Source organism: Homo sapiens, chromosome 5 (genome assembly GCF_000001405.40).
Source record: "Homo sapiens chromosome 5, GRCh38.p14 Primary Assembly".
NCBI lineage: Eukaryota > Metazoa > Chordata > Mammalia > Primates > Hominidae > Homo > Homo sapiens.
The window spans coordinates 119,214,941-119,241,212 of NC_000005.10; the positions used below are offsets into that span (position 1 = coordinate 119,214,941).

The 26,272-nt window shown below is 34.2% G+C and overlaps 1 protein-coding gene across 26 annotated transcripts in view; it reads left to right on the top strand.

Moving 5' to 3' along the window:
* Positions 1-26,272, top strand: part of DMXL1 (Dmx like 1) — a 178,101-nt gene that overhangs the window by 143,914 nt on the left and 7,915 nt on the right. For 22 of the 26 annotated variants that reach the window (NR_170869.1, XM_011543213.3, NM_001349240.2 and 19 more), the window contains 8 exons: positions 1,961-2,047; positions 5,532-5,653; positions 6,000-6,141; positions 9,769-9,829; positions 18,400-18,527; positions 22,382-22,474; positions 24,049-24,140; positions 25,479-25,531. Coding sequence is in view for 23 of the 26 variants with exons in the window: in XM_011543213.3 (XP_011541515.1) it covers positions 1,961-2,047; positions 5,532-5,653; positions 6,000-6,141; positions 9,769-9,829; positions 18,400-18,527; positions 22,382-22,474; positions 24,049-24,140; positions 25,479-25,531 (778 nt within the window). In the remaining 3 variants the exon portion in view is untranslated. Of the gene's footprint in view, positions 1-1,960; positions 2,048-5,531; positions 5,654-5,999; positions 6,142-9,768; positions 9,830-18,399; positions 18,528-22,381; positions 22,475-23,916; positions 24,141-25,478; positions 25,532-26,272 lie in introns of those variants that run through there. The other 4 variants (NR_170867.1, XM_047416838.1, NR_170868.1 and 1 more) reach the window with 3 other exon arrangements.

Sequence of the window (26,272 nt, forward strand, 5' to 3'; positions counted from 1 at the left end):
CTCTGTCGCCAATTTCTTCAAAACCTAAGAATGAACATTTAGTATACTTTAGATGCCAGGCAGATTGGTGGGTAAGTTGGAATTTTGTCATAAAATTATGGAATTTGACTTGTACATCATTAACGGATGATCGGCGTTTTGTAGTCAGAGCTGAGACTTTCCTTAGAAGACAAGTTGATCCTCAAGTCAGCCAGAATGTTCAGCGAATACTGAAATTCTTCCTAAGCAAGTTATACTTTAGATTAGAATATATTTGACTCTTTATATCTGGCAACTGATTTTTGTTTGTGTAGGGATATTTTGGTTTGGTTATCTTGTAGGTCTCTTTGAACTTTCCAATTGAACAGTGATCTTAATTGCCTTTCTTTTATTTATTTATTTTTTTGAGACAGGGTCTTGCTCTGTTGCCTGGGCTGGAGTACAATGGCTCGATCTTGGCTTACTGCAGTCTCTGCCTCCTGGGTTCAAGTGATTCTCGTGCCTCAGCCACTCAAGTAGCTGGGATTACCGATGCGCACCATCACGCCTGGCTAATTTTTGTATTTTTAGTAAAGTAATTTCTAGTTAATTTTTGTAATTTTAGTAAAATTTTGTACTTTTCTCCATGTTGGCCACTCCTGACCTCAAGTGATCCACTCACCTCAGCCTCTCAAAGTGCTGGGATTATAGGCGTGAGCCACCACACCTGACCTTAGTTGCTATTTTTAAAACACTGCATATTCTGATCCATTCTGTGGTCAATGGCCGGGCATTGGTGATATTTCTATCAAAATTTTGCAGTAAGTAAATTTATTGTATGCTGATTTCAGATAATTTATGCATTTCACAATAAGTCTGAAAACCTAATTCATTTTAAAAGATTGAAAGTTAGAATGGCTGGGTGTGGTGGCTCACGCCCATAATCCCAGCATTTGGGAGGCCAAGGTGGCCAAATCACCTGAAGTCTGGAGTTCCAGACCAGCCTGGCCAAAATGGTGAAACCCTGTCTCTACTAAAAATACAAAACTTAGCCCGGTGTGGTGGCAGGTGCCTGTAATCCCAGCTACTTGGGAGTCTGGAGCAGGAGAATTGCTTAAACCTGGGAGGCAGAGGTTGCAGTGAGCTGAGACTGTGGGCCACTGCCCTCCAGCCTGGGCGACAAGAGCATCCATCTCAAAAAAAAAAAAAAAAAAAAAAAAAAAAGCAGGATAATATGAAATAATGTCCTATATTAGGCAACATTTCAACTCTTTAATTGCCTCCTCTTTTCTGCTTATTTTAGTAAGTGTCGATTTTATATAGTATTCTTTTCTAAGTCCAAAGATGTATACACTTTGTCTGGAGTAAGCAGAAGGTCAAATATATGTCCCTCATCTAAAGTACTTAGAATGGTGGTTTATTTAGCTACTAAAATGATTACTCACTTGGGCAAGTTACATTGCCTTTCAGAATTTCAGGTTTCTCTATAAATCAAAGGTTAACTACAGCCATCTGGCCAAATCTCACCTGCTTCTATATAGTCCATGAGCTGAGAATTTTTAAAGGGTTTGGAAAAAATGCAACAGTGACCCTTTGTGGTCTGCAAAACCTAAAATATTGACTATCTGACCTTTTAAATTTTAAAAAATAATATGAAAGAATTATAATGCTAGGAAACTTGGTAAATACATTTTGCTTTAATAATTAGAATGTGTTGATCCTTTAAAGTTAATTAACTGTATCTCGGGAGGATAGCCACTTAATGAAGTTGTATGTTGTATCAGCTGTTTTTTTATGTGTAAAAAAGCAAGTTTGAAGAAATTTAAATTTCCCATGTCAAATTTTGTTTTAGGGATAATTAGCATATACAATAATACCTTTAGAATTGAAATATCTACTTTCTTAAAATAATTTATGCAAGTACTAATTGATAGATTGGCATATATTATTAGTTCTATTACTAAAATCAGTGCATTTTTGTGTTTTGTTTCCTTTTATTTAGATAGAAGCAGATTTGGGATATCCTGGAGGTAAAGCAAGAATTATTCATAAGGAATCTGATATCATTACTGCGTTTGCTGTTAATAAGGTAAGTACATAGACATTCTTCTTTTGTTTATTAAGTATTTATAGTTGGATAATATCTTCTGTTTTATCAGTTTATCCAGTATTTCTTTCCCAAAGCTGCTTCCAGTTCCTTAAATTGCAATCTGGATACTTTTTTAATTTTATAAAATGATATTATTTGATAATGTGATTTTGTTATTATATGATTTTGGAGATACAGCTGATACATAATGTTTTATTACTATGCAGAGAGAAGTACCAAATATATAGACAATCGCTTTAGAATTTATACAATGTACTATAGTAGTTAACCCACAGAAAAAGTTTTTTATGTTCCTTATGAATATGTCAAATGTGGTTCTGGGTATTTGGTAAGATTTAAGCTTATATGTGACTCAAATTCTCCCTCTTTGATTTATACCTCCGATAGCTGCCCAACGTGTGTATTTTCTTAGTATTTCTTAAATTTCTACTTAACATCCTCCTTAGATGTCTATACACTCCTCACAGAAGAGGTGGCCTTAGGTACTATAGTCCAAGATTGAAATCTGTCTTATTAATCATTTTCCCCTTCTGTCTCCCCTAATTGCCTTACTGTATGGTTCCTAATGACTTCTAGTTATTCTTTTGTTTTCCTTCCATTAACTTAAAGGATATGTGTATCTTCTTTTTATGTATTCATAGAAGATACCTAAAGGAGATATTGTATACATATATATAAGATGTTCATATGTTCCTAATTTTAAAATAATTGTTAAATGTTATGTAGATACATACCCTGTAATATGTATATGTAATATGTAATACAGGGAAGTGTGATATACGGGGAAATTACCCATTTAGTAATCCTTTCACCAGTTGGTTTTCTGTCTTTCTGTGCTATGTCTGTCTTCTCTGAATTCTTCTGGACAGTATCTTTGTTGTTCTGTGTGCTTCACTTAATTTCCTTCTTAGACACCGTTGAGCAATGACTGGCTAAAGGGCTGATTCCAGATTTGCCTGCTTCAGACAGTTCTGTTATCAAAGAAACAGTTCTGTTTGAAACAGGCAAATCTGGAGTCAGCCCCTTAGCCAGTTGTAATATCTGTATAACATGATATTATATATACATGTCAAATACAAAATTATTGGCCAGGTGTGGTTGCTCACACCTGTCATCCCAACACTTTGGGAGGCCAAGGCAGTAGGATCACTAGAGGCCAGGAGTTTGATACCAGCCTGGGCAACATTGTGAGACCCTGTCTCTACAAAAAAAAATTATCTATACCTGCATTACCTGCTCTTTCTTGAAGAAAATATGATTTAAAATAGTCTGTGCTATAAAAGAAACTAGTTGTTTTCTTCTTGAGGGTTTATATATAAGTACTGGTAATGAATAGCTATTCACATATATAAAGTCTACAAGTTACTGTCTATGAATATGCCTGTTTAATTTTTATTTCCCCAGATTTGCTATTTTTATTTATTTTATTTTATTTTATTTTACTTTATTTTATTTTATTTTATTTTGAGACGGAGTCTCGCTCTGTTGCCCAGGCTGGAGTGCAGTGGCGCGATCTTGGCTTACTGCAACCTCTGCCTCCCGGGTTCAAGCGATTCTCCTGCCTCAGCCTCCCAAGTAGCTGGGACTACAGGTGTGCACCACTACACCCAGCTAATTTTTGTATTTTTAGTAGAGACGGCGTTTCACCATGTTGGTTGGCCAGGATGGTCTCGATCTCTTTACCTCGTGATCCGCCTGCCTCGGCCTCCCAAAGTGCTGGGATTACAGGCGTGAGCCACTGCACCCAGCTGATATGCTATTTTTAATATCCTTACTAAATTTGCAGCTGAGAAATAATACCTCTTGCTTTAAGTTGCATTTTTTTAAATGCCATTGAGATTTTTTTTGCCATTTGTTTAGTTGGGAACTACCTGTGTCAAAAACTATGAAGGGTCTCAGATTTTACCTTAAATTAAAACTAACAGTTAGCTTTCTGTTTCTGTTGCCACAGAAACAGTTCTGTTTGAGGCAGGCAGTGGATTGTTTAAACAGTCCATTTAATTGATCCATTAAACATTTTAGTGGATGCTGTTAGAAGACATACGACTCTTGGATCAGAGACAAAGGACAGTTTATGTCTAACAGCAAAAGCAATAACCAGAAAATCAGCACTTTACACTGGTTGCCTGAGCCACAATTTCCAGAGAATGACGGGAAGAGGGCCAGATGATACCTACCTTACCTACACACATAGTAGGTTATATTACAGGAGAGGATCTCTGAGTTTAGGGGACCCAAATCTTTTATAATCGATAGTAAGCATACTTGCCCTTTGCTCTGGAGGGAGAGACGATAGTTATACAAACATCCTGGCAATTATACTGCAGAAAAAAGGGCAGACATGACTCACTTATAAAACATGCAGAATTTGGGATACCCATGGAGAATAACCACCCAATAATCTAGCTATATCATTTTTTCATTTATTTCTAAGGTCTCAGTTTTTTCTTAATAGTTTGTGTTAAAATCTAACATAACAGTAATGGTAATCCTATTTTCTCTTTGCTGTCAATATCTTCCTGTTTTCTGTTTCAAAGATACACATTTAATTAATTAATTAATTTATTTATTTATTTATTTATTGAGACAGGGTATCATGCCTGGTGCCCAGTGCTGTGGTGCAATGTCAGCTCACTGCAGCCTCGACCTCCTGGGCTCAAGCAATCGTTTCACCTCATTCTCCCAAGTAGCTGGGACTGCAGGTGCATGCCACCATGCCCAACTAATTTTTGTATTTTTTGTAGAGACAGTGTTTTGCCATGTTGCCCAGGCTACTATCGAACTCCTGAGCTCAAGCTGTCTGCCTGCTTCAGCCTCCTAAAGTGCTAGGATTATAGACGTGAGCCACTGCCCCCAGCCAAGATGTACATTTTTGATTCATAGGCATTTAAAATTTCATGTCATTTAACCTTAGCAACTTTTCATTTGTGATCTTTTTCTGGCATACTTCTCCCACTATATTTCTGCCCCTACACCTTTTTTCTGTGACCCTTTCCCACTTCTTTTTTTTTTTTTTGCCTAAGATTGAAAAGCTTTAGGAGAAAGTTTGTTTTATTTAAATAATTAATAATTATGTTTTTAGTTTGGAGTTCCTTATTGCCCTCACCTTTCTGTACCCTACAGGTTCCTATCTTTTTCAGCATCTTCCTCCACATTTCTGAATTGTGCATACCTTAGAGCGATCATAGCATTCTAGCAGTCTAGAAAAACAGTACTGGGAGAGGAAATAAAATGCTGCATGTATTGCCATTTATACTGGCTTTCTATTGGATGTACTTTTCATAGAACATAAACGTATCTCCAAACTGAAGCTTATTATTTCACTAAAAGTAAGAATGCTGTATATCCTGTACTTTAGTTATCACTGCTAGAGGTTATTTCAAAACTACCATTTTCAAAAGCAGCTCATATACTATCTCTTTTGCCTATTGCTTTTAAAATTACCATTTGACTTATTTTTCAGGCAAATAGAAACTGCATAGCAATCGCTTCCAGTCATGATGTTCAAGAACTGGATGTTTCTGGAATTCTGGCCACACAGGTCTACACTTGGGTAGATGATGATATAGAAGTGGAAACCAAAGGGTACCTTCATAGTTTGTTTCTATTTAGTAATGTTGCAATATGAGTGACTATATTTACTGAACTAAAACTTTCAAAAGATTCTTTAAAGCAATGTATAGATTGTAAGCAGAGTAGAAGCTGATGTGCTAAATGAGGGGTGGCAAGAGCTTTAAATAAGGGAACTGAGAGAAGAGTAAGTGAAGGGAACAGAAATTGTTGAGGTATGAGGTCATTGTGTGTGAGTTACAAATAAGAGCTGAAGAAAATTAATTTTAAAGGGAACTATAAATTCAAATTTTAGACCTTTCAAGTGTAAAAAAGAAAGAAATGATGAGTTGTTTTTATTCTGGTTGACATTCCTTTATAGATCAGAAGATTTCTTGGTTATACATGCTCGTGATGATTTAACAGCTGTTCAAGGTACAACTCCATATACACATAGCAATCCTGGCACTCCAATCAACATGCCATGGCTTGGTAGTACACAGACTGGCAGAGGAGCATCTGTGGTATGTAAAGTTAAAAATAAATTTAAGTTATATGTAACTTTTATTTTTCCCTCTAGGTTAATGGATAAAGGATGATTTAAAACATTTTTCTTAATTCCTAAAGTTTTAGTAAGTCTTACATGTTGGAAATTGTAAATTTTGATAATGAAGACTAGTATGTTTTCATTTGAAAGGGTAATAATAAATTGTTTTAAAAATATACTTTGCTTGAAAACCAAAGAGCTATATTTTAATTAAGAATTATTTGAAACATGGTTCAGATCAGGCTTCAGCAAGGTGTTCCCCATAGATCAAATATTACCCATGACCTGTTTTTATATAGCTAATATGCTAAGAATGGTGTATACATTTTAGTGAAATGGTTTATACATTGTTTTTTCAATAGTTGAAAAAACAAACATAGTATTTTTTGGCACATGAAAATTACATGAAACTGGATTTCAGTGTTTTTTTACAAATAAAGTTTTATAGGAACACAGCCAGTCATTTGTTTCCATTTTGTCTGTGGATGCCTTCACACTACAGTGGCAGAATTGAGTATCTGCAACAGAAAGTAAATGCCCATAAAGCCAAAACACTTGCTATCCAGTCCTTTATAAAAAAAGGTTTGCTAACCCCTTGTCTAGGTATCTTTTAATGGATATCAATTAATAACTATATCCATATTAAGTATCACTTTTTTAAATGCCAGGACAAATATTCTTTTTTTTTTTTTAACAAAAACAATATATAATTTCTTAAGTTAAGCAAAAAGCAATATAATAATGAACTGAAACATAATTTTTCTGTAGTGTTGGAGGATCTTTTTTAGCCCTGATTACCTAGAGATGTGATTCATATTTGTACTTCCAAGCCTTTATTATTACGTAGGTTATAGGAACTAATGAACGGATTTGAAGAAGCAAAGAAAGGTGGTAGGGTTTTTCAGAATTTCATAAGTACTGTAGAATGCTTTCCTTGGCCAAAAAAAAAATTATTTTTCATTAATTAGTATGAGCAATTGTTCAAGTAAAATCTGAGTTATCTTTAATAATACCTTGTAATATTTTGTACCTAATGGAGTTCCTTTATAGTTGCTATAACCTTATAATTTGCAGTATCTGTTGTAGTTGTTATTTACTCGTATTTAAACATTCTTCAGATGAAGCTTGAGATCCAAAAAGGTCAAGTGGATCAACTTATGTCACTTTGTTAAATGTATGGTAGAGCTTGTTTTAAAGCCCTCTGTTCTCCTTAGTTCAGTGATTTCAAGTAGCAGTGTTTTAAGGATTAAAATGAACTTGAAAAGCAATCTAGTAATTATTCAAATGAAATGACTTGCTCAGTGGTGGTTAAATAATTTTTCCAGCTGACAGATATGTTACAATTCATTGGTAAAACTTACTGATATTATATTCTTTTAAAGGAGAACTCAAAGGGAATATATGCCAAAGAAGTGCATAGGACTAATAGGCACTTTTTTGAATTCCAACCTCAGAGATTACAATATAGTTCTTCCTGTAACATCTTTCTTGTTGGTCTCTTCCTACTTCTATTCTTTACACAGCAGCAGCCAGTTACTCTTTTCTAAAACATCATTCAGGTTGTCACTCGCTTTCTAAAAAATTTCAGATTTCCCAATACGGCTTTTAAATAACAAGTCATTAATAGGGCCCTACAAAATTTAACCTTCTGCCATCTCATCTCCCTTTATTCTACATCTGATTCTCTTTGCTGTAATTACACTGGCTTCTTTCTGTCTCTTGAACTTATTAAGCTCATGGTTATGTCAGGAGCCCTTGACTTTCCTTCTGCTTAAAATGCTCTATCCCTCTGTTGTACCATTCACATCTCAACTCAAATCCCCCCACATTTCCCTGGCTTCCCTAATTAAGGCATTTGCCCCTACCCACTCTACCCCCAGTCACCTTATATTTTATCATCTTTATTATCCCTTGCGCTTACCAGTTATTGAAATTATTCATTACTTAGTTGTGTTTTTTTTTTTTTTTTTGAGATGGAGTCTCGCTCTATTGCCCAGTCTGCAGTGCAGTGGTGCAATATTGGCTCACTGCAACCTCCACCCCACAGGTTCAAGCAATTCTCCTGCCTCAGCCTCCCTAGTAGCTGGGATTACAGGCATGCACTACCATGCCCGGCTAATTTTTGTATTTTTAGTAGAGATGGGGTTTTGCCATGTTGGCCAGGCTGGTCTTGAACTCCTGGCCTCAAGTGATGCACCCAGCTTGGCCTCCCAAAATGCTGGGATGACAGGCATGAGCCACCGTGCCCTGCCTTAAGTTGTCTTTTTTATATGCCCTGGAATCTAAGCTCTTCGAGAGCTTGGATTCTGCCTGCCTTGCAGATTGATGATTTCTAACTAGAATGGTATTGGACGTATAGTAGGTGTTCAGAAAAATGTGTTTATACTCCAAAGCATTGTAATACAGAAATCTACCATAGGCATAACACTAAGGATTGAATTTTCTTCCTACCTAAATCTTAGGACATCTTTTTATTTCGGATAACTGTGATTTGTTAACATGAGGGTTCGGATTGCCTCACTCTACCCTCAACAAAAAGACACCAGTAGAATAAGGTTGTTCTTTTTTACATGGATCTTCTAAAATAATGATTTTACATATTTTACATATGCTTTCAGAAACTTTTTTAAACCTGTGTTTGTATATTTTTTTTACGTATGGTTCTCCTGTGAATATTAAAAAAAGAAGACAAAAGCAAGAATAGGAACCTTCAGGCATTTCTTTAATTAAGAAGAACATGGAATTTAAATATGAAGTTTACTAAACAGAAGTCATATGCAGCAGGTTTTTATTTTTTCTAGAGAACTGATAAAATATTTTCTTTATCCTTTCATTTTATCAAATGATAAAAACTAATAGCAAAAAAATATCATTATGACCAGCTTCTGCTATTTTGGAGTATAACTGCATCAATATATGTGTTTCAGTTTTATTTATCCCTCTTCTTTTCTCTGGCCTAGTCTCTGTTCTCCCTACCAACTCCCCACCTTCTCCACAACTTTAGGCTAATTGAACCATTTAAAATCCAAAAGAATAACAATAACAAAACCTACCTGAGACTGATGCTACAAATTTAAGATAACATATATTTGTAGTTATGATGCTATATAAATTGGAAATGTTCTATAAATTTTTCCTTTAATTTTATGTGTTTGTTTTACTCTTATTTGACAGGCTAGTTAAATTATTCAAAGCATAACTTTAAAATGAGTAAATACATAGTTCCAAACTGTTTTTAAATTTATTTAATTTTCTCTTCTTTTATTTTCACATGCTCCTGTCTTTTAAACTTACACTATTCAGGATTATTACTGAATAATAAATGTAATGGGATCAGAAAAGAATTGACAAGAAAGGAGGGAAGACTAAATTCTTGAAAGGAATTTATCTTTAGATCCTAGTCAGTAATGCCCAAAATATATGTGCAAATATAAGAGCTGCACTATTAAATTTCTGTTATCATGTTTAGTATTTTTAGCACCCATAATGATAGTTATGAACTCATGTAAAAATAAATAAATGAATGTTATTTGAATTTCCTGTCACAATTTAAATGTTTAATCCTTTTTATTATGCCTATAAAATAATTTTTCTATTTTACCAGATGATTAAGAAAGCCATTAATAATGTTAGAAGAATGACTTCTCATCCAACTCTTCCTTACTGTAAGTTGAATAATAATTAGCAATTGTCCTTTCTTATTCTTAAATCTATTTTTGGTAATTTTATTATAAGAAATGTGTGGGAACCTTTTTGTTTTAATTGAAAGCATTTATTTGACTTTTTTTCTAGCGAATATTTGCCAGTAAATAAAATCTTGATTTCAAAACTGGGTAAAAATAGAAAAAGATATTTCCCTAAAAGAGAAAGCTGATTTAATGAAGTAAATTTTTTGACATTTTGACTACCAATCAAAATTTGCGACTACCAATACACAAAATTTGTGTATTTCTAAGTTAACACATTTTATCTTTGAACATTTCTGGATTTCTTTGATCATGCTAAATTATAGTGAATAATTATTTTAATAATAGAACCACTGCCAACCTTTATTACATAAGCCACAACCGTACCTCAATTATTTATTACCTCATCGTACTCAGTTTGTATTTTATTACTTTTTTTCAGTTGGTCTTTTATGAGACACATTAATAGTAAACATAGGAAATTATTATTAGTTTTTATATTCTAAGGCAGAATATATGTGTTTTCAGTTAATCTTCCTAGGAATCTTAAAAGTTTCTCTTCCTTCAACCAAGAACTTAATTAATGGGGAATTTATTGGAGGTATTGATTCTGGTGGGTTGGAATCAATACTCATACTGGTGTGTGAGTATTCCAAGTTTTTTAATATTTTTTTTTAAGTTATGCCCTTCGTCAAATTGTCCTACTACATAGTAACAAGAATAATGCATGTTAATTAATGGGTATTCATGTCCCCCAGTTTAATAGCCTATTAAAAACTTTAGAAACTTTTCTCTTGGGAGATATTCTGATAAAATGCAGTTAACAAAATCAGTATTCTTTTCTGCTTCATTTATGATAAATGCTCAAATAATCTATTATCAAAGTTGTGTACGCTGTACGAAACAAGGCTCAAGAGAACCGTATATGTAAAATGAAGAGAATAACATCTGTTACTTATGCTAGAGGTATAACATAATATAAAAAATTTGTCTGTTTTCACTACATCAAATTTATTCATCGCTAGAAGTGTGTATTTTTTACCCACAAGTTTAATGTCAGGTGAGAACTAAAAAGCAGTCATGAAGCCTATAGTGTAAGGAGTCAAAATGTGTTTTATATATAAAATTTAAATAATATTATTCTACATCAGGAAATACTTGATATTGCTTAAAACTACCCTATTCTATGCAGTCTGGTTGGAAGTTTTCTGAGATACTGAAGGGACTTCATTTTTCTCTCAGTCCCATACCATGTGTCCTGGCAGGTGTAAATATCCTATACCTTAATCCCATAAACTTAAAGAGGCCACGCTCAAAGCTTCAAAGGTAATTGATGGACCTATTGTCAGAGGTGTTAGGTAGCATCAATTACTGCTGTCTTGAGAGATAAATCCTTTCTCTGTTTAGAGAACTGCCAAAACTAGCAGATAAGACACCTGAAAAATTAAAAGCTAATTACTGGATTTTTTTTCCAGTATATCTTTTCATGTCACAAACAAGTCCCACAGGTAGTAATTTAGTTTGATAACAAACACTTTTCGTGTTGTGAAAATGTTATGAGACAGGATTTTTAAAAATATTAGTCTGAAGTTCAGATACCTCAAGATAGCTGTTTTCTTTCCTTGGAATAGATCTTTTGAAAAATTCTTAAAGAACTTTTTAGAAGTTAGCCTAGTACATTTTATAATTTTCTGAGTAGAAAACACACTGTTTCTCTATGCTGTCATGTACAGTTCTGATACCAGATGTGTTGGCTTTTGTCCACTCCAAGCCATTCTCCACCTCTCCAAGTACTGGCTGGGTGCCTTATAATTTGGTTTAATTATGACACAGTCTACCTGGAGTTAGAATCATATCCTACAGGTTAAGGGCTCAGTCCCACAAAACTGCTCCTTACTTCAGACACCACTCGCAGGTTATCAGTTTTCACCTACACATCTGGCATACTGGCTATAAATCAGAGTGCCCACAGCTCCCTCCTTGGGTTTGATTAATTTGTTACACTGATTCACAGAACTCAGGGAAAATGCTTTACTTACATTTATCAGTTTATTATAAAAGAAACAGATGAAAAGTACATAGAATGAGGTCTGTAAGACTCCTAAGCAGAGGAGCTTCTCTCCCCTTGGAGTTAGGGTGCACTACAAACCTGGCACATGGATGTGTTCACCAGCCAAGAAGCTCATCAGATCTCCTTGTTCAAGAGTTTTTATAGAACTTAATCTCCAGCTCCCTTTCCCACCCTTTTCTGGAGGTTGGCGAGTGGAACTGAAAGTTTCAATGCTTTAGGCTATCTGTGGGACCCCATCTAAGACACTGCATTAGCATAAATTCAGGTGCTCTTCCATGGGTTTTAGTAGCTGTATGCCAGGATCCAGGGACAAAGACCAAATATGTATTTTATGTCACACTGGGTCATTTTTTTTCCCTTCTAAAATGTTTAATGTGTTTTCCCTGTTTAATTTTTTTCCCCTTCTAAAATGTTTAATGTGTTTTCCCTTTTTAATAAGTATTTGTTGAAATCATACACTTGATAGGTTCTATATAAGCCTAGCTGAGTAAAAGTGAAGTCTGCTCTGCTGGAACATTAATAAGGAATCTCAGATAAGATTTTTAAAAACCTCTTGAGGCTCAGAAGTCAAGCCAAGGACTTGCCATCTGATTTCACCTGCAGTCCTATAGATTTGGGTTGATTGCTCTTTTCTTGAGGTCCTCAGAAAATCCTGGGGTTCCTTTGTCTGCCAGGAAGTGATAGTCTTTACTCTTCTGTAAGGCAACCATGTAAGGGACTATATATGTACAGTACCAGGCCAGTTTTTCTGTTTTTTGGTTTTTTTTCAAGGTATCTTATTTGCTCTGTCAGCCTTTGGTTCCTTAAAGCTGTCTGGGTGATATCTGATTCTGTGCATAGTCTCCAATATGATATATGAGTCAAAGCCTTGGTAATACGACCGATGTTTCCAATTATGTCCTGCTATAAGAAGGACAGGTTCTTTTTGCTTTTACTCCTGGCAAGCTGTAAAGAACAGATTCTTACTGAACTTATGCAAATAACTATATTGCCATGAAAATAAGAATACTCACTAATAGCTTCCAAATTCTGGAGGGATCAGGTAGAGAGAAAAAGTAATTGTTTTATCTTTGTTCACGAAGGCATACTTTGCCAAATTTCCATAAACTACTGAATAGCTTAAGAGAAAAGAAAAAAGTTTTCTTAAATCTGGAAAACAAAATAAAGACCTAGCAATGTTTCAAAACCATAATTATTAAAAAACCATAGATTTTCTTCAATAAGTTATTCAGCCTCTCATACTTAATTCTTGTTCGACTTGATCTTGGTTAGCAGTTTAATGAATTTATAAGTTTTTTCCCTTAGAGTTCTGGAAGTTCTTACACTGTCCAATGATAGGATCTAAATGTTATCAGAAACCAGTACCTTTCAGAGTCTTTTCTATGAATCTCCTTGAAGACAGAGCACTTTAGGATTATAGTTACTTGCAGACACTTTCAGTGAAGATCAGGAGAAACAATAACCATCTGTCAGTGACAAAAGACTTAACATGGCCATGACTAAAGATCAATTCATTATCATAATGCACAATTGACAAGTAAATTTGATTGCTTCTGTGGCATACAATATTTTAACAAAATAACTGAAAGTATGGCTGATAACATTATACAAGGACACATCAGATTTTTAGAACCTTCATGCAATTTCTGGAATACTTATCTAATAGTATATACCCATACAAATATAATATAAGAAGGTATCACCGTTATTTGACAATGCTTCCCATGCAATTTAACATATCAATTAAGCCTAATTATTTTAACATTCTTCTTTTTAGAGGGAGTGAGAACAAATTTTTTTTGAGATATTGCAAGGGCCCTTTGGAAACTCGCAAAGTTAGAGTGAGGTCAAAAGTACTTCATTTATAATGTATTTTTGGGAAATTTGTCAAAAATATCAAACAGTTTAAAACACTTGATTATAGTAAGGTTACTGTGGAAAAATATTTAACCAGAGTGATAATTAAAAGACATCAAAGGCAAATACAGAAAGTTATGTTGTTGTAGAAAAATCCTTAGCTATTTTAATGTTGTAGGAAAAAAACCTTAGATATTTTAATATTGAAATATAGCTAATTTAATAATAATGTTAATATTAACATTAGGTCTTAGGTAATCAAAGACCTAAAAAGACATGAAGCACAGGAAATTATCTTGATAAAACAAAATCTCGGCTGGGCGCGGTGACTCATGTCTGTAATCCCACCTCTTAGGGAGGCAGAGGTGTGGGGATAGCTTGAGCCCAGGAGTTCAAGACCTGCCTGGGCAATATAGGGAGACCCCATTCTCCACAATAAAGGAAAAAAAAAAAAGACAAAAAAACAAAATCTCGATTTTGTAGTCAGATTGCTTAAAAGGTAAAAATAATAATATTAACATTAGGTCTAGGTAATCAAAGACCTAAAAAGACATGAAGCACAGGAAATTATCTTGATAAAACAAAATCTCGATTTTGTGGTCAGATTGCTTAAAAGGTAAAGGAAAACCTTTCATAATCTCTTGTCAAGAGAAAACCAATACTCCAGTAAAACTTTGCACCAATGTACTTCTGATATTAAGGCTCATCATTCTTTTAATAACATATATAAATACACACATATTAGCCAGCTTGGCCACACATAAAATTATTTTTCCAAATTCCTCTTACACAAACCCTGTATAGCATTCTCGTATCCATGCATATTTTGTTCTGTACTCTTCCTCTTTCCCAATATGGAACAGTCTGCTTTAGGACAAAAATTATTCTTTTTCCCATAAGAAAAACATCCTTCATACCTCATAGCTTCACATTCCAAAAACATCTTACTTTCCTGACATACAAAATTATTTATCTATTTTCAGTAGTTTTAATTACATATATTGATTAGAATTCTTAACTGTTAGTAATGTTAGTTTCTAGTGAAAACTAGGTAATAAGCAGTTGTGCACTGTCAGTCACACCAGCATTCTATAGAGTAGCAAATCTATATCTTTCATAATTTACAGAAGCATGTTCTTTTTCATAGTATAGTTTTTCAGTGTGTCACAGGACACCTTTACTAACAGACCCAAATATCTTTATTCTTCTGCAATAAGAAGCCAAAAGTAGATAAGCTTATGTTTAGCAATTAATGTTTTAGTATTTTATGTAATTTGGAAGTGATCTAGATATTCAATTAATATCCATCATTTAATTTAACTTAATGAAATACTAAGGGTATAAGTTGTCAAAGGGATTTGGAAAACTGTTTTGAAGTAGACATAACACCAGACAAGGCCAGCCATCAAGTTAGTCATTATTTATTTTTTGCTGACAAATTTTGTAACAAAGATAACATGAGTGTATTTGACTAGTAAGCCTAAGTAAAATAAAAGTTGTATATCACATTATATTTAGTGCTGGTAACTCTTAAGGATATGCCTGCTTTAATTAAACCAACAAACTTAAATTTGCTTTCATTTACCAAAGATTATCCCACATCAGATGAACTTGAAAAACATTTGGGTCTGTTTCTATCTTTCTAAAAGTTTAAGGAATACTTAATTTATATAAGTGCTTATTTTAAGTGCGTTAGATATAATTATTAAAAATTAATTTTGACAATACCATCTGGTGATAGAAAAATATTACATATATTTAACATATATAAAGTCATACACAAACATACAGGCAGAAGCAGATTCTATAGTTTTCCTTCTAAATTTTGGCGATCTGCCAGATACAAAATATCAAACTCAGTCGTTTATAAAAAGGATATCTGGGCCGGGCACAGTGGCTCACGCCTGTAATCCCAGCACTTTGGGAGGCCAAGGCGGGCAGATCACAAGGTAAGGAGATTGATACCAACCTGGCTAACATGGTAAAACCCCACCTCTACTAAAAATACAAAAAATTAGCTGGGCGTGGTGGCACACGCCTGTAGTCCCATCTACTCAGGAGGCTGAGGCAGGAGAATCACTTGAACCCAGGAGGTGGAGGTTACAGTGAGCCGAGATCACACGATTGCACTCCAGCCTGGGCAACAGAACAAGACTCCGTCTCAAAATAAATAAATAAATAAATAAATAGGATATCTGGATCCAAATTGTGTTTCTGAAAATGGGACAAGATTACCCACCCAGATTGCTAAAACTTTACTATTATTTGTTGAAGACTTTTAAGATTTCTCATTTGTCTTTTGTAAAGACTCTTTTAGAGAGACAATTTACAGTTCATTTAGTCTTCTAGTAGCCTCTGCATACCAATCAAAAAATGCCTCCCACTGTTTGTGAAGCATTAGAGATTCCCTTTTATTTAGTGCTTCCTGTAGATGGACAATTTTGTGTAAATTAAAAACTTCCCTGTTGTGGCCACCATAATTCTAAATTGTCTTTGGTAAATATACTCATTTCTCTAGGAAAGCACAGGTTCTGGGTCCATAATGTTTATGCATAAAATTAGCTGGAGTTCCAGTTGGAGGAGTTTTTGAATTCCTTAAATTCAGATGAACCCATGATTTCTTGTCCTTCCAAAATCTTATCTACCTGAGGCCTCTGACTGGACCCAATCCAGTCAGGTTCAGTCTGACTTCTAGACCTGATCTGAATGAAAAATGCTTAAAGGATAAAAGTTGCAGGTTTCAGGTCAAGCGGTAACCTTCAAATGCACAGTGAGAAACAGTAGGCACAAGGGGCCTACCAGGAGGTAACTGTGCCTGGTTACTTGTTGCTCCTGGAGGTCATCATCAGGGGATCTCCTTCATGTTCCTCTGCTGAGAACTCTTAAAACATAGGTACATTAAAAATTTAATGAGTTTATTTTAGCTTTCAGCTCAAATTCATGAACTGGGCAACACCAGACCAGAAGCCATTAAGGCTTCACCGAGGTGGCATGAGGGGAAAACTTTTATAAGGTGTTCAAGGAAGCACAACAAAGACAGTATTTGATTGGTTAAGTGGAAAGTCCTCAGTTAGAAGTTAGTTGGGGGTTTCTAATTGATAAGCATCTAGTTAGAAGTTAGTTGGTGGTTTCTGATTGATTAAGCTTAAGCTTCATTTTACTGTTTACATTGAATTGAGTTTTGATTTGCTCGTATAGGCATGCAAGGCCCTGGAGCTGTCTTAGCCTAATAGCCTCCCAATTAATTTCTTTTTTTTAAGATTTTTTTAAGAGACAGGGTCTCATTATGTTGCCCAGGCAGGAGTTTTATGGCTACTTACAGCACAATCAAGGCACACTACAGCTTTGAACTCCTGGGCTCAAGTGATTCTTCTGCCTCAGTCTCCTGAGTAGCTAGTACTATAGGTGTGTGCCACCAAACCCAGCTCTTAATTTTTTAACGTTATAAATAATAATAGAAAAGTTGAGCGATTTTAGTGCAACCACCCCAATTTATTTTTCTGATTAAGCTATGCAAGCGCATTGGGGGAAAGGGAGTAGAGCCAGTCAAATACCTAGTCTCAAAAAACTCTACCTCCTACCGCTGCCCAATGGTAAAAGCTTTCAAACCAATTGAAGTTCATTTATTTTAAATATTTGATAAGGAATGAGGGAAACTTGACTGATATGTGACTAGCAAGTGCTAGATGTTTTATATAAATGTATTTTTTTTACTACCTCCATACCACATTAATATTGATAATGATACTCTATAAATTGAGTGTTATATGTTAGGCATATTTCTGGGTGCCTTATATATGTGATCTCATTTTCTACTCACAACTGTCCAGTGACTTATATATCATTAGTCCCTTTTTACAGGAAGGAAATGGTCTCAGAGAGATTAAGTAAATTTCCTAGTATAACACAAATAATAAATGGCAAAGCGAAGAATCAATAGTCATTTATCTTATTCATATTTCTCAGTAAAACAAGTCCGGTGCAGTGGCACGTGCCTATAAATCCCAGCCTCTTAGAGGCTGAAGTGGAAGGATCACTTGAGGCCAAGAGTTAAAGACCAGCCTTGGCAACACTGCAAGACCCTGTCTCTAAAAAAAAAAAAAATTAACTACAAAATTACAAAAAAAACAGATAACATATATTTGAGATATTAGGCCAATCAGGATAACTTTTAGAACTGATTTTTTTCTTTAGCATGACATTTAAAACCTTCTTTAATCTGATTTTTTTCAAAGAAAAATGTGTATACATTTACACATTAATAGTATAATAAGGATTGATTCTAACCTAAGAATTTCTTATAATGAGTAATATATAATTTATTATAAAAAATAAAAGGCTGTTAAGACATCATTGAGATAACTTTAAAGGGAAATAAAATTTATGGAGCTATGATTTAAATGCTCCTATCGTATTTGAGGATGTGTTCTTAGTCAAATGAAAGTGTATTGTATAACTATTTTTATGATGAATAGTATTCAACTGAAATTTCATACAAAGGTAAATTTATATAAGTTGATTTAGATGTTTCTTTCATAAAGATTTTCACATAGGATAAAGAAATAACTTTTCCCAAAGATTCTTGAAATAAATCTGCAATTTTTGCCCTCTTGTAATGCAGATCTGACAGGAGCTCAAGATGGAAGTGTCAGAATGTTTGAATGGGGCCATTCTCAACAAATAACCTGTTTTCGATCTGGTGGCAATTCAAGAGTTACAAGAATGAGATTTAACTATCAGGGAAATAAGGTATTATATAAAAATGTAAATGGTAAAAAATTTATTGTGTTGGAGGTTTATAAATTCCACTAGTTTGGGTTTCTGAAAAGAACAGCTCCGTGGGTAGTAGTAAAGTATTGATCTATATAGATGCTTTTAAATTCTTCTCAAAGAACACTTAACTTCACTTGTTCTTCCTAGAAGTATGTTATATAGGTGTCCATTAAAACTCAGTTAAGTGATTCTTAATGACCAAACGATTATAAGTTCACCTTATATTACACACTTTTTATTATTAAATGCTCCTACTCTCTTTATCCCTCGGAACCTACTCAGTGTGTGATCCAGCAGCAAGTAACATCTAGAGCTTATTATAAATGCATATTATTGTTCCTTCTCCAGATGTGCTGAATCACCATCTGCATTTTAACCCGATATTGTTGTGATTTTTACAAATATTAAAGTTTTTTAAGAGGTACTGCTCCAGAACAACATCAGCAAACTACATCCTAGCCACCTGCTTTATAAATAAAGTTTTGTTGGACCACAGTTACCCCCATTCATTATTTTTCTTTGGCTACTTCCTACTACAGCAGCATAGTTCAGGAGGACAAAGACCTTATAGCTGGCAAAATAAAATATTTATTATGTGGCCACCTAAGAAAAAGTTTGCCAGACCTGCTCTAGAGCATCCTTTACTGTCTTCACTTCTCATAATCCTTTGTTCAAACTGCCCCCCTCCCCACTTTTATGTTAGACAGCAATCTTTTATTGAACAGTACTGCTCCTTGTGAAGCAGGGCTAGTTCAGAGGCAGTGCACCCACAGCCAGCCCAAACTGCCTCTTTTTGCTCCTAATATGTTATTAGCCCTTTACAAAATAATTAAAGAGTAAATCAGTCTTCTTTTTGTCTTCAGGGCCATGCTGCACCAAAAATTACTCTCACAGACTCTAACTGATGGTTCACCTTGCCTTTTCTTTCCCCTCAGCCTCCCTCACACATTAAATTCTCCTCACACATTCCTTTTATCATTGTGTGCTGCAACCTTTTTTGTCTACCATGTTTATCACATGGCTCTATTTTCATTTCACAAAAGTAGTTTTATGTAGTTGTGAAACAAAATTTTGAGAGCTTGTTTCTTAATACTAATTAGCAACATTCTTAGCTCCTTAGTGGGAAATTAAGGGAACTTAGTACAGATGCCTGTATAATTCTATTGTACTTTTAGTTGTATTCTCTATCAATGTGCTTTTTGTGCATTTCAACTTGGGTTGTCAGTTTTATATTGCTCCTAACTAATCTCTATACCTGAACCCTTATCTCTCTAATGCATCTTGCCAACAGTATTATATAACAAAAAACATAGCTACATGATTACAATATAGGTGAGATCACATTATTATTTTTTTCAAGAACCCTTCAAGGCTCCTCATGTCAACTTCTTTAACAAGTATTTAAGACCTTCTATAATGTGACTATTTTTCAGCTTTAACACTCACTACAGCCTTCTGCATAGGCTATTTTAAGGCACAAAAAACTGCTTGTCTTTGCCTGCACAAGTATCTTTGACCGGCAGTCAACTTACTATTCATTCACCTTAGCCTTGACGAAGTCTAATAGCACAGCCCCTAAGCATGCTATCTCTTCTAGTAGGGAAGCCTCTTAAGGTAAATGGAAGAGATAACTCACACTGTATCACAGTAATTCTGATGAATTGGATATTCAATTATGAATAGAAATACAGTGCCAAAAGCCAGTGAATATTTCAGAAAAACTAAGTGTCTGGAAAGGGGTATTAAGCAGAATAAATAATAAATAACCTATGAGGACTAATTCCTCAGAGATTCAAGAATATATTACATTTATACAACAAGAACATGCTAGCATTAAACAAGGACAGTAGGAAAACAGAAAAGAGTTATTGGAAATTAAAAATACGATTCCCAAAAATGTGGTCAGTGGGGGAACTACTTATTAGAAAAGCTGAACAGCAGAATGGAAATAGTTGAAAATCAGGTTTGTTGCTGGGAAGCACAAATTAAGAAACTATCCCATAATGATGATAATTTAGGAAATATTTCAGAAGAAAAAAATGGAGGAAAAACAATATTCAAAGGAATAATAGATACTTCCCCAAAGCAAAGAATAGAATATTGGAAGAGAAAGGGCCTACCAAGTATTGAGAAGCAACACGTACCTGCACACATCCTGTTTGTGTAACTTTTGGTTTTTAGAGTTAAAGAGAGAATCCTATAAGGTTCTAAAAAGGAGTGAGAATGAAAAAGGTTATTTACAACCCACATCCCACCCTGCCACTAAATGTCGTTGGCCTGTCACAAATAGATAGGAGAACAATATCCACAGAATTCTGATGGACAAGGAATGGGAACTGAGTCGATGTGCATCCAAACTATCATTCAAATTTGCTAGCAAAATAAACATATTTTTAGGTATACAGAGACTTAACACATTCCATGTGTATACCCTTTCTGAAGAACATACCTAGATCTACTCCAGAAAATGTAAGATAAACTAGAAAAAGGAATAGACCTGGGAAAATATTATTAACAAATATAAAAACAGTAGGTTAATATTCATAATATTAGTCATATCAGTTAAATTTTTTAAAAGACAAATAGTAGAGAAATAGATAAAACATCTTAACAGTTTACCAAGAAACTTTGCCTGGCCAGTAGCCTTCTACCTTCACTAATAATTGAAGAAGTGCAAATAAATTGAGACTTATTCTTGTCTGCATAAAATTAACAAGTATTTTAGATTTTAAAAATACCCCATGTTAACTAAAGTGTAAGAAAAATGGCTGTATCAATTTATATTACCACATAGGATTTAATTTTGGCATAGTCTATTAATTTTAAGTGATGCTCTTTAACAAAACTTTCCCATTTCTAGATGTCTATCCTACATAATTATGCAAAGGTATATGTATATATAGGAATGTTCAAAGCAGCCCTTTTTATATTACAGAAAATTGAAAACGGTATGGGGAAAGTTTTAAATTGTAATACCACTGTACAGTGTAATACTACACACAGCACAAGAATGATCTAAATTTATGTGTAATTACCTGGGAAAGATAGCTATAATAAATAAAAAATGTAATTGTGTAGTGGTATTATTATGATCCCAATTTTTTAAATGCTATATTGTGAATTTTTGAATACTCATAGAAACAAATCTGAAAGGAAGCACATCAAATTGTTAATAGATGTTAGATCTAGAGGCAGAGGAGGGTGGGAGTACAAAGCAGACATTTATTTTATATACTTTATAATAAGCTGCGTTATTTTTATAATCAAAGGGAAAAAATTTAGCTGTCTTACTCATCCTTCAAGATCTGTATCAAGAATACCTCCCTTAGTGGATTATTTTGACATCTTACCAGTCAGACTTGCCCTGAGCTCCCATAGCGGAATTATTTTACTTTGATAATCCTTATATCATTTTACTTTGTACTCTTGTTCATGTGTTTTCCTTATTGTTTGTTTCTGAAAATCCTTATTTTATCTTTCTGGAAATGAACAGTTTTCTTTCTTATATATGATAAAGTTCTGTCACATAGCATAATCTGTTAATCCAGTATCCTGTTTTTGTAATACTTACAGAGAATATATAGACTATGCTAGAGGCTACTGTAATAAAATGGGTGTCTGATGTTTGTTCTCTTTATGTTCACCCTGGGATTTTTAAAGTAGTAGCTGAATGTTTTTCTGAAATAGATCCATGTATAGGTGAAGTGAAAAATCACATGACATACAGTCAAATGTTTACGAGTCAAAATATGGGTGTCACACTGAGGGTAAGGATAAATATATGCTTTTATATTTATATTAAATACTTTTAAATATTTTCTTTCTCTAAGTTTGGAATAGTTGATGCTGATGGATATTTAAGTTTGTATCAAACAAACTGGAAATGTTGTCCAGTTACTGGAAGCATGCCTAAGCCATACCTGGTAAGCCAAGAATTTCTACCTTTAAATAAAATTTGAATTTTCATTTTAAATAAACCAAGAATACGTATTTGAGACAAGAAATATAGAACTAATAAATAAAATATAGTCCTGTGTTCTCAGTCACTTTGCTGTAAGATTCTGTCCTTGTGTTATGTGAAAATTACTCTGTGAAGCATAAAATTCCTTAGTCTCTGATAATTTGGGAAGTTGACATGTATAGAAGCAACATGATACCCCCAGATACCTATACATCTTGTGGATTACTAGAGCCCTTTTCTAACCTCACTAAACTGGTTATTATATTATGCCTAAATAGAATGATTACCAGACCAATGCGTCTGGTTATTTTTCTGCAATTATCTCTTATGAACAAACAAAGTGAAAAGGACATCCTATAGCTGGTACTGTTATTTTCTTGTTCATCTCTTTTAATTTAGGATTATGCAGGCTTTTATGAACTTTCTGTGGCTTCATAGAATACTGAATTTATATTTCATATCTTCAGTGAAGCTCTTTATAGGACTAAGCAATTCCTATCAGAAAAAAAGTTAAGAATATAGGTTAAGATTCTGGTAATTTGCCCAAGGTTAATTGCTAGAATACAGTACTGATCTAAGTAAAAGCAAGCAAGCATGGGAGGATTGATTAGGGTACCTTGAAAGAATATTAACTGTTTCTCATATTTTTATTAAGCTTAAAGATTTAGATGTATAAGTTTGTTCTCTAAGGGACTGTTTTTTTTAACTTTTAAAAAAATGAATTGGTTTAAATTATGAATAACTGGCTTTTGGAGATTAAGAGGATTTTGTCTGTTTTAAGGACACATCATCTAGCCCAGCTCCAGTAGTGTTCCAGGGGAAATGGGGAGTTGGCTCAAAGGAATAATCTTTGGTGTGGTGATTTTGGGATACTTAAAAAAAATCATTTTTTATTAAAGAGAAATATGTAAAACATAATTTTGAAGCTTTTATAAATGAAGAAACCTCATAATTAAGTGTACTGTTTGGTAGAATATTGAAAAATGCTATATGTTTTCTAATTTTGATGACTATTAGTAATTTTTTTCATGTACTTGAATTTTTAAAAGCTTAAATATTTTTGAAAAATATATGTCAATTATTTAACAAAAGTCTGGTATCATCTAAAATTCTAGTTTCTATCTTCTGAAACAGAAATTTTCACTATGCTAGGAGAAGGTCTTTAAGTTTAACCTCATGTTTTCCTTTGAACTTTTGGTTGAACAAAAGCAAAGAGATTCATAACGGGTCATGATATATGCAGCCTACTTAAATAGTTCAGGAAAAGTGTGTGTATGCGTGGGTGTCTACAAATATGAAAGAGAAGTAGAGGCAAAACAAATGTGCCAAAATGTTAAAAAGTTGCTGCATCTGGGTAAAAGGTATATGAAAGTTCTCTGTATTACTTTTACAATTTTTCTAAAGTTCAAAGGAAAAAAACGATACAGAGGATTTAAGAAAGCCAGAAACTACATGATCACTTTTCGAAGAATACATTTACCTGGTTATGACATTTTTAGTGAGAGGAGTAACACGTATTGTTTGTAACCATTCCAGACTTGGCAGTGTCATAACAAAACAGCCAATGATTTTGTCTTCGTTAGTTCCTCCTCTCTGATAGCTACAGCTGGTCTTTCAACTGACAATAGGTAAGAGATGATAGCTAAAATTGAAGTATGAGAAAGTATAGCTGAACTTTTTTTTATTGTTTCTGTCCTTGTGTTTGACTAAAGTTTACTTATGGCTTTAGATACAGTATTTTTATTCTAAAAACTATTATTTATTGGCCATGTTATTCCAGCCCCACCCCCAAAAGCTGTGGTTGTAAGAAAGTGTCATCTCCTGCCCCAGTATCTGTCTGCCTCTTTTGATTTCTGTTATATAACTGAGTTCTGAGATCAAGGCCCACTGAGTTTGCTTAGCTTATATATTTATCTGTAAGGCCACACTTTGCACTAGAAACAGGATTGTAAGACTATAGATTCTTCAGCTCGTCTTCCGTAGATATTTCTTACGTATGTTGGTCCCCCCACACAGTAGAAACAAGTTTTCTTTGTGCTTAAGAAAATTCAGCATCTCTCCTGTTAATGTATGTCAGTCCAACTGTTAGAGATTCAGTGAATACAAAAAGAAGTTTCCATATTCAGACTTCATATATTATTATTTGTAAACGCATGTTAATCTAAAGTTATTCAAATTTTTAAGCTATAATAGTAGCTTTAAATTTTCTGTAAAAATTGTGGGTCGGGCACAGTGGCTCATGCTTGTAATCCCAGCACTTTGGGAGGCCGAGGTGGGCGGATCACTTGAGGCCAGGAGTTTGAGTCCAGCCTGGGCAACATGGTGAAACCCTATCTCTACTAAAAATACAAAAAATTAGCCAGGCGTGGTGGCAGGTGCCTGTAATCCCAGCTACTCTGGGGGCTGAGGCAGGAGAATCGCTTGAACCTGGGAGGCAGAGGTTGCAGTGAGCCAAGATCACACCATTGCACTCCAGCCTAGGCAACAAGAGTGTAAAACTCCATCTCAAAAAAAAAAAAAAACAAAAAATTGTAGCCAGAGCATGTTGGCTCATGCCTGTAATCCCAGTGCCTTGGCAGGCTGAGGCAGGAGGATCATTTCAGCCCAGGAATTTGAGACCAGCCTGGGCAACATAGGGAGACTCCATCTCTACAAAAAAAAATTTAAAAAATTAGCCAGACATGGTGGCACACATCTGTAGTCCCAGCTACTCGGGACATTGAGGTGGGAAGATTGCTTGAGCCCAGAAGGTCGAGGCTGCAGTGAGCCAAGATTCCACCACTGCATTCTTTTTTTTATATAAAAATTAGTTTCATATAAATTTGTTGGTTACTTGTATTTGTTGCTTTTATAAATTTAAGAACCTTCTGTGACAGCAAGGTTTAAAGGTCACACAGTTATATATGACATATTTTTTATTGTTAGCTTTTGTGTCACTCAGAAGTAATCTTTTTTTTTTTTTCCAGAAACGTATGTTTGTGGGATACTCTTGTAGCACCTGCCAATAGTTTAGTCCATGGTAAGTTTTCAAAGCATTTTATAAATTTTGAAAGTCAGGAAATTCATAAGCTAAATATTATTTATAAGTGGATTTGTTACTGATGACACATATATTTATTAACCCATGAGATTTCTTTTGCCCAGGATGGCAGGATTTGAAAGCAAAAAGATGCAATATACGTAATTAACTCTTCACTATACCTTGATGGGGGACAGTGAGACATCGATAATATAAAAATCATTTGTCTTTACTTTGAATCTGATAGCCACAGGTTATCGTTGTAAACATGATGTAAACTCAATATTATGTCCCCTCTTACCACTCCTATTCAACATTGCACTGGAATTCCTAGCTAATGCAGTAACACAATAATAGGAAATAAAATGTATATAAATGGAAGGGAAGAAATAAAACTGTCTTTATTCACAGAAAACATAATTTTCTATAAAATATCCCAAAGAATCTACAAAATAAATTCACAAGTATAGCAAGGTCCCAGGATACAAGGTCAATATACAGTTGACCCTTGAACAACATAAGGATTGGGATGCTGACCCCTGCACAGATGAAAATCATAATTTTTTATTCCCCCCAGAATTTAACTACTAATAGCCTAGTGTTTACTGGATACCTTATTATTAATATAGTCAATTAACACATATTTTGTATATGTGTTTTATAGGAAGCTAGAAAAAAGAAAATGTTATGAAAATCATGAGTACATACAGTAGTGTACTGTATTTATTGATATTGTAAAGT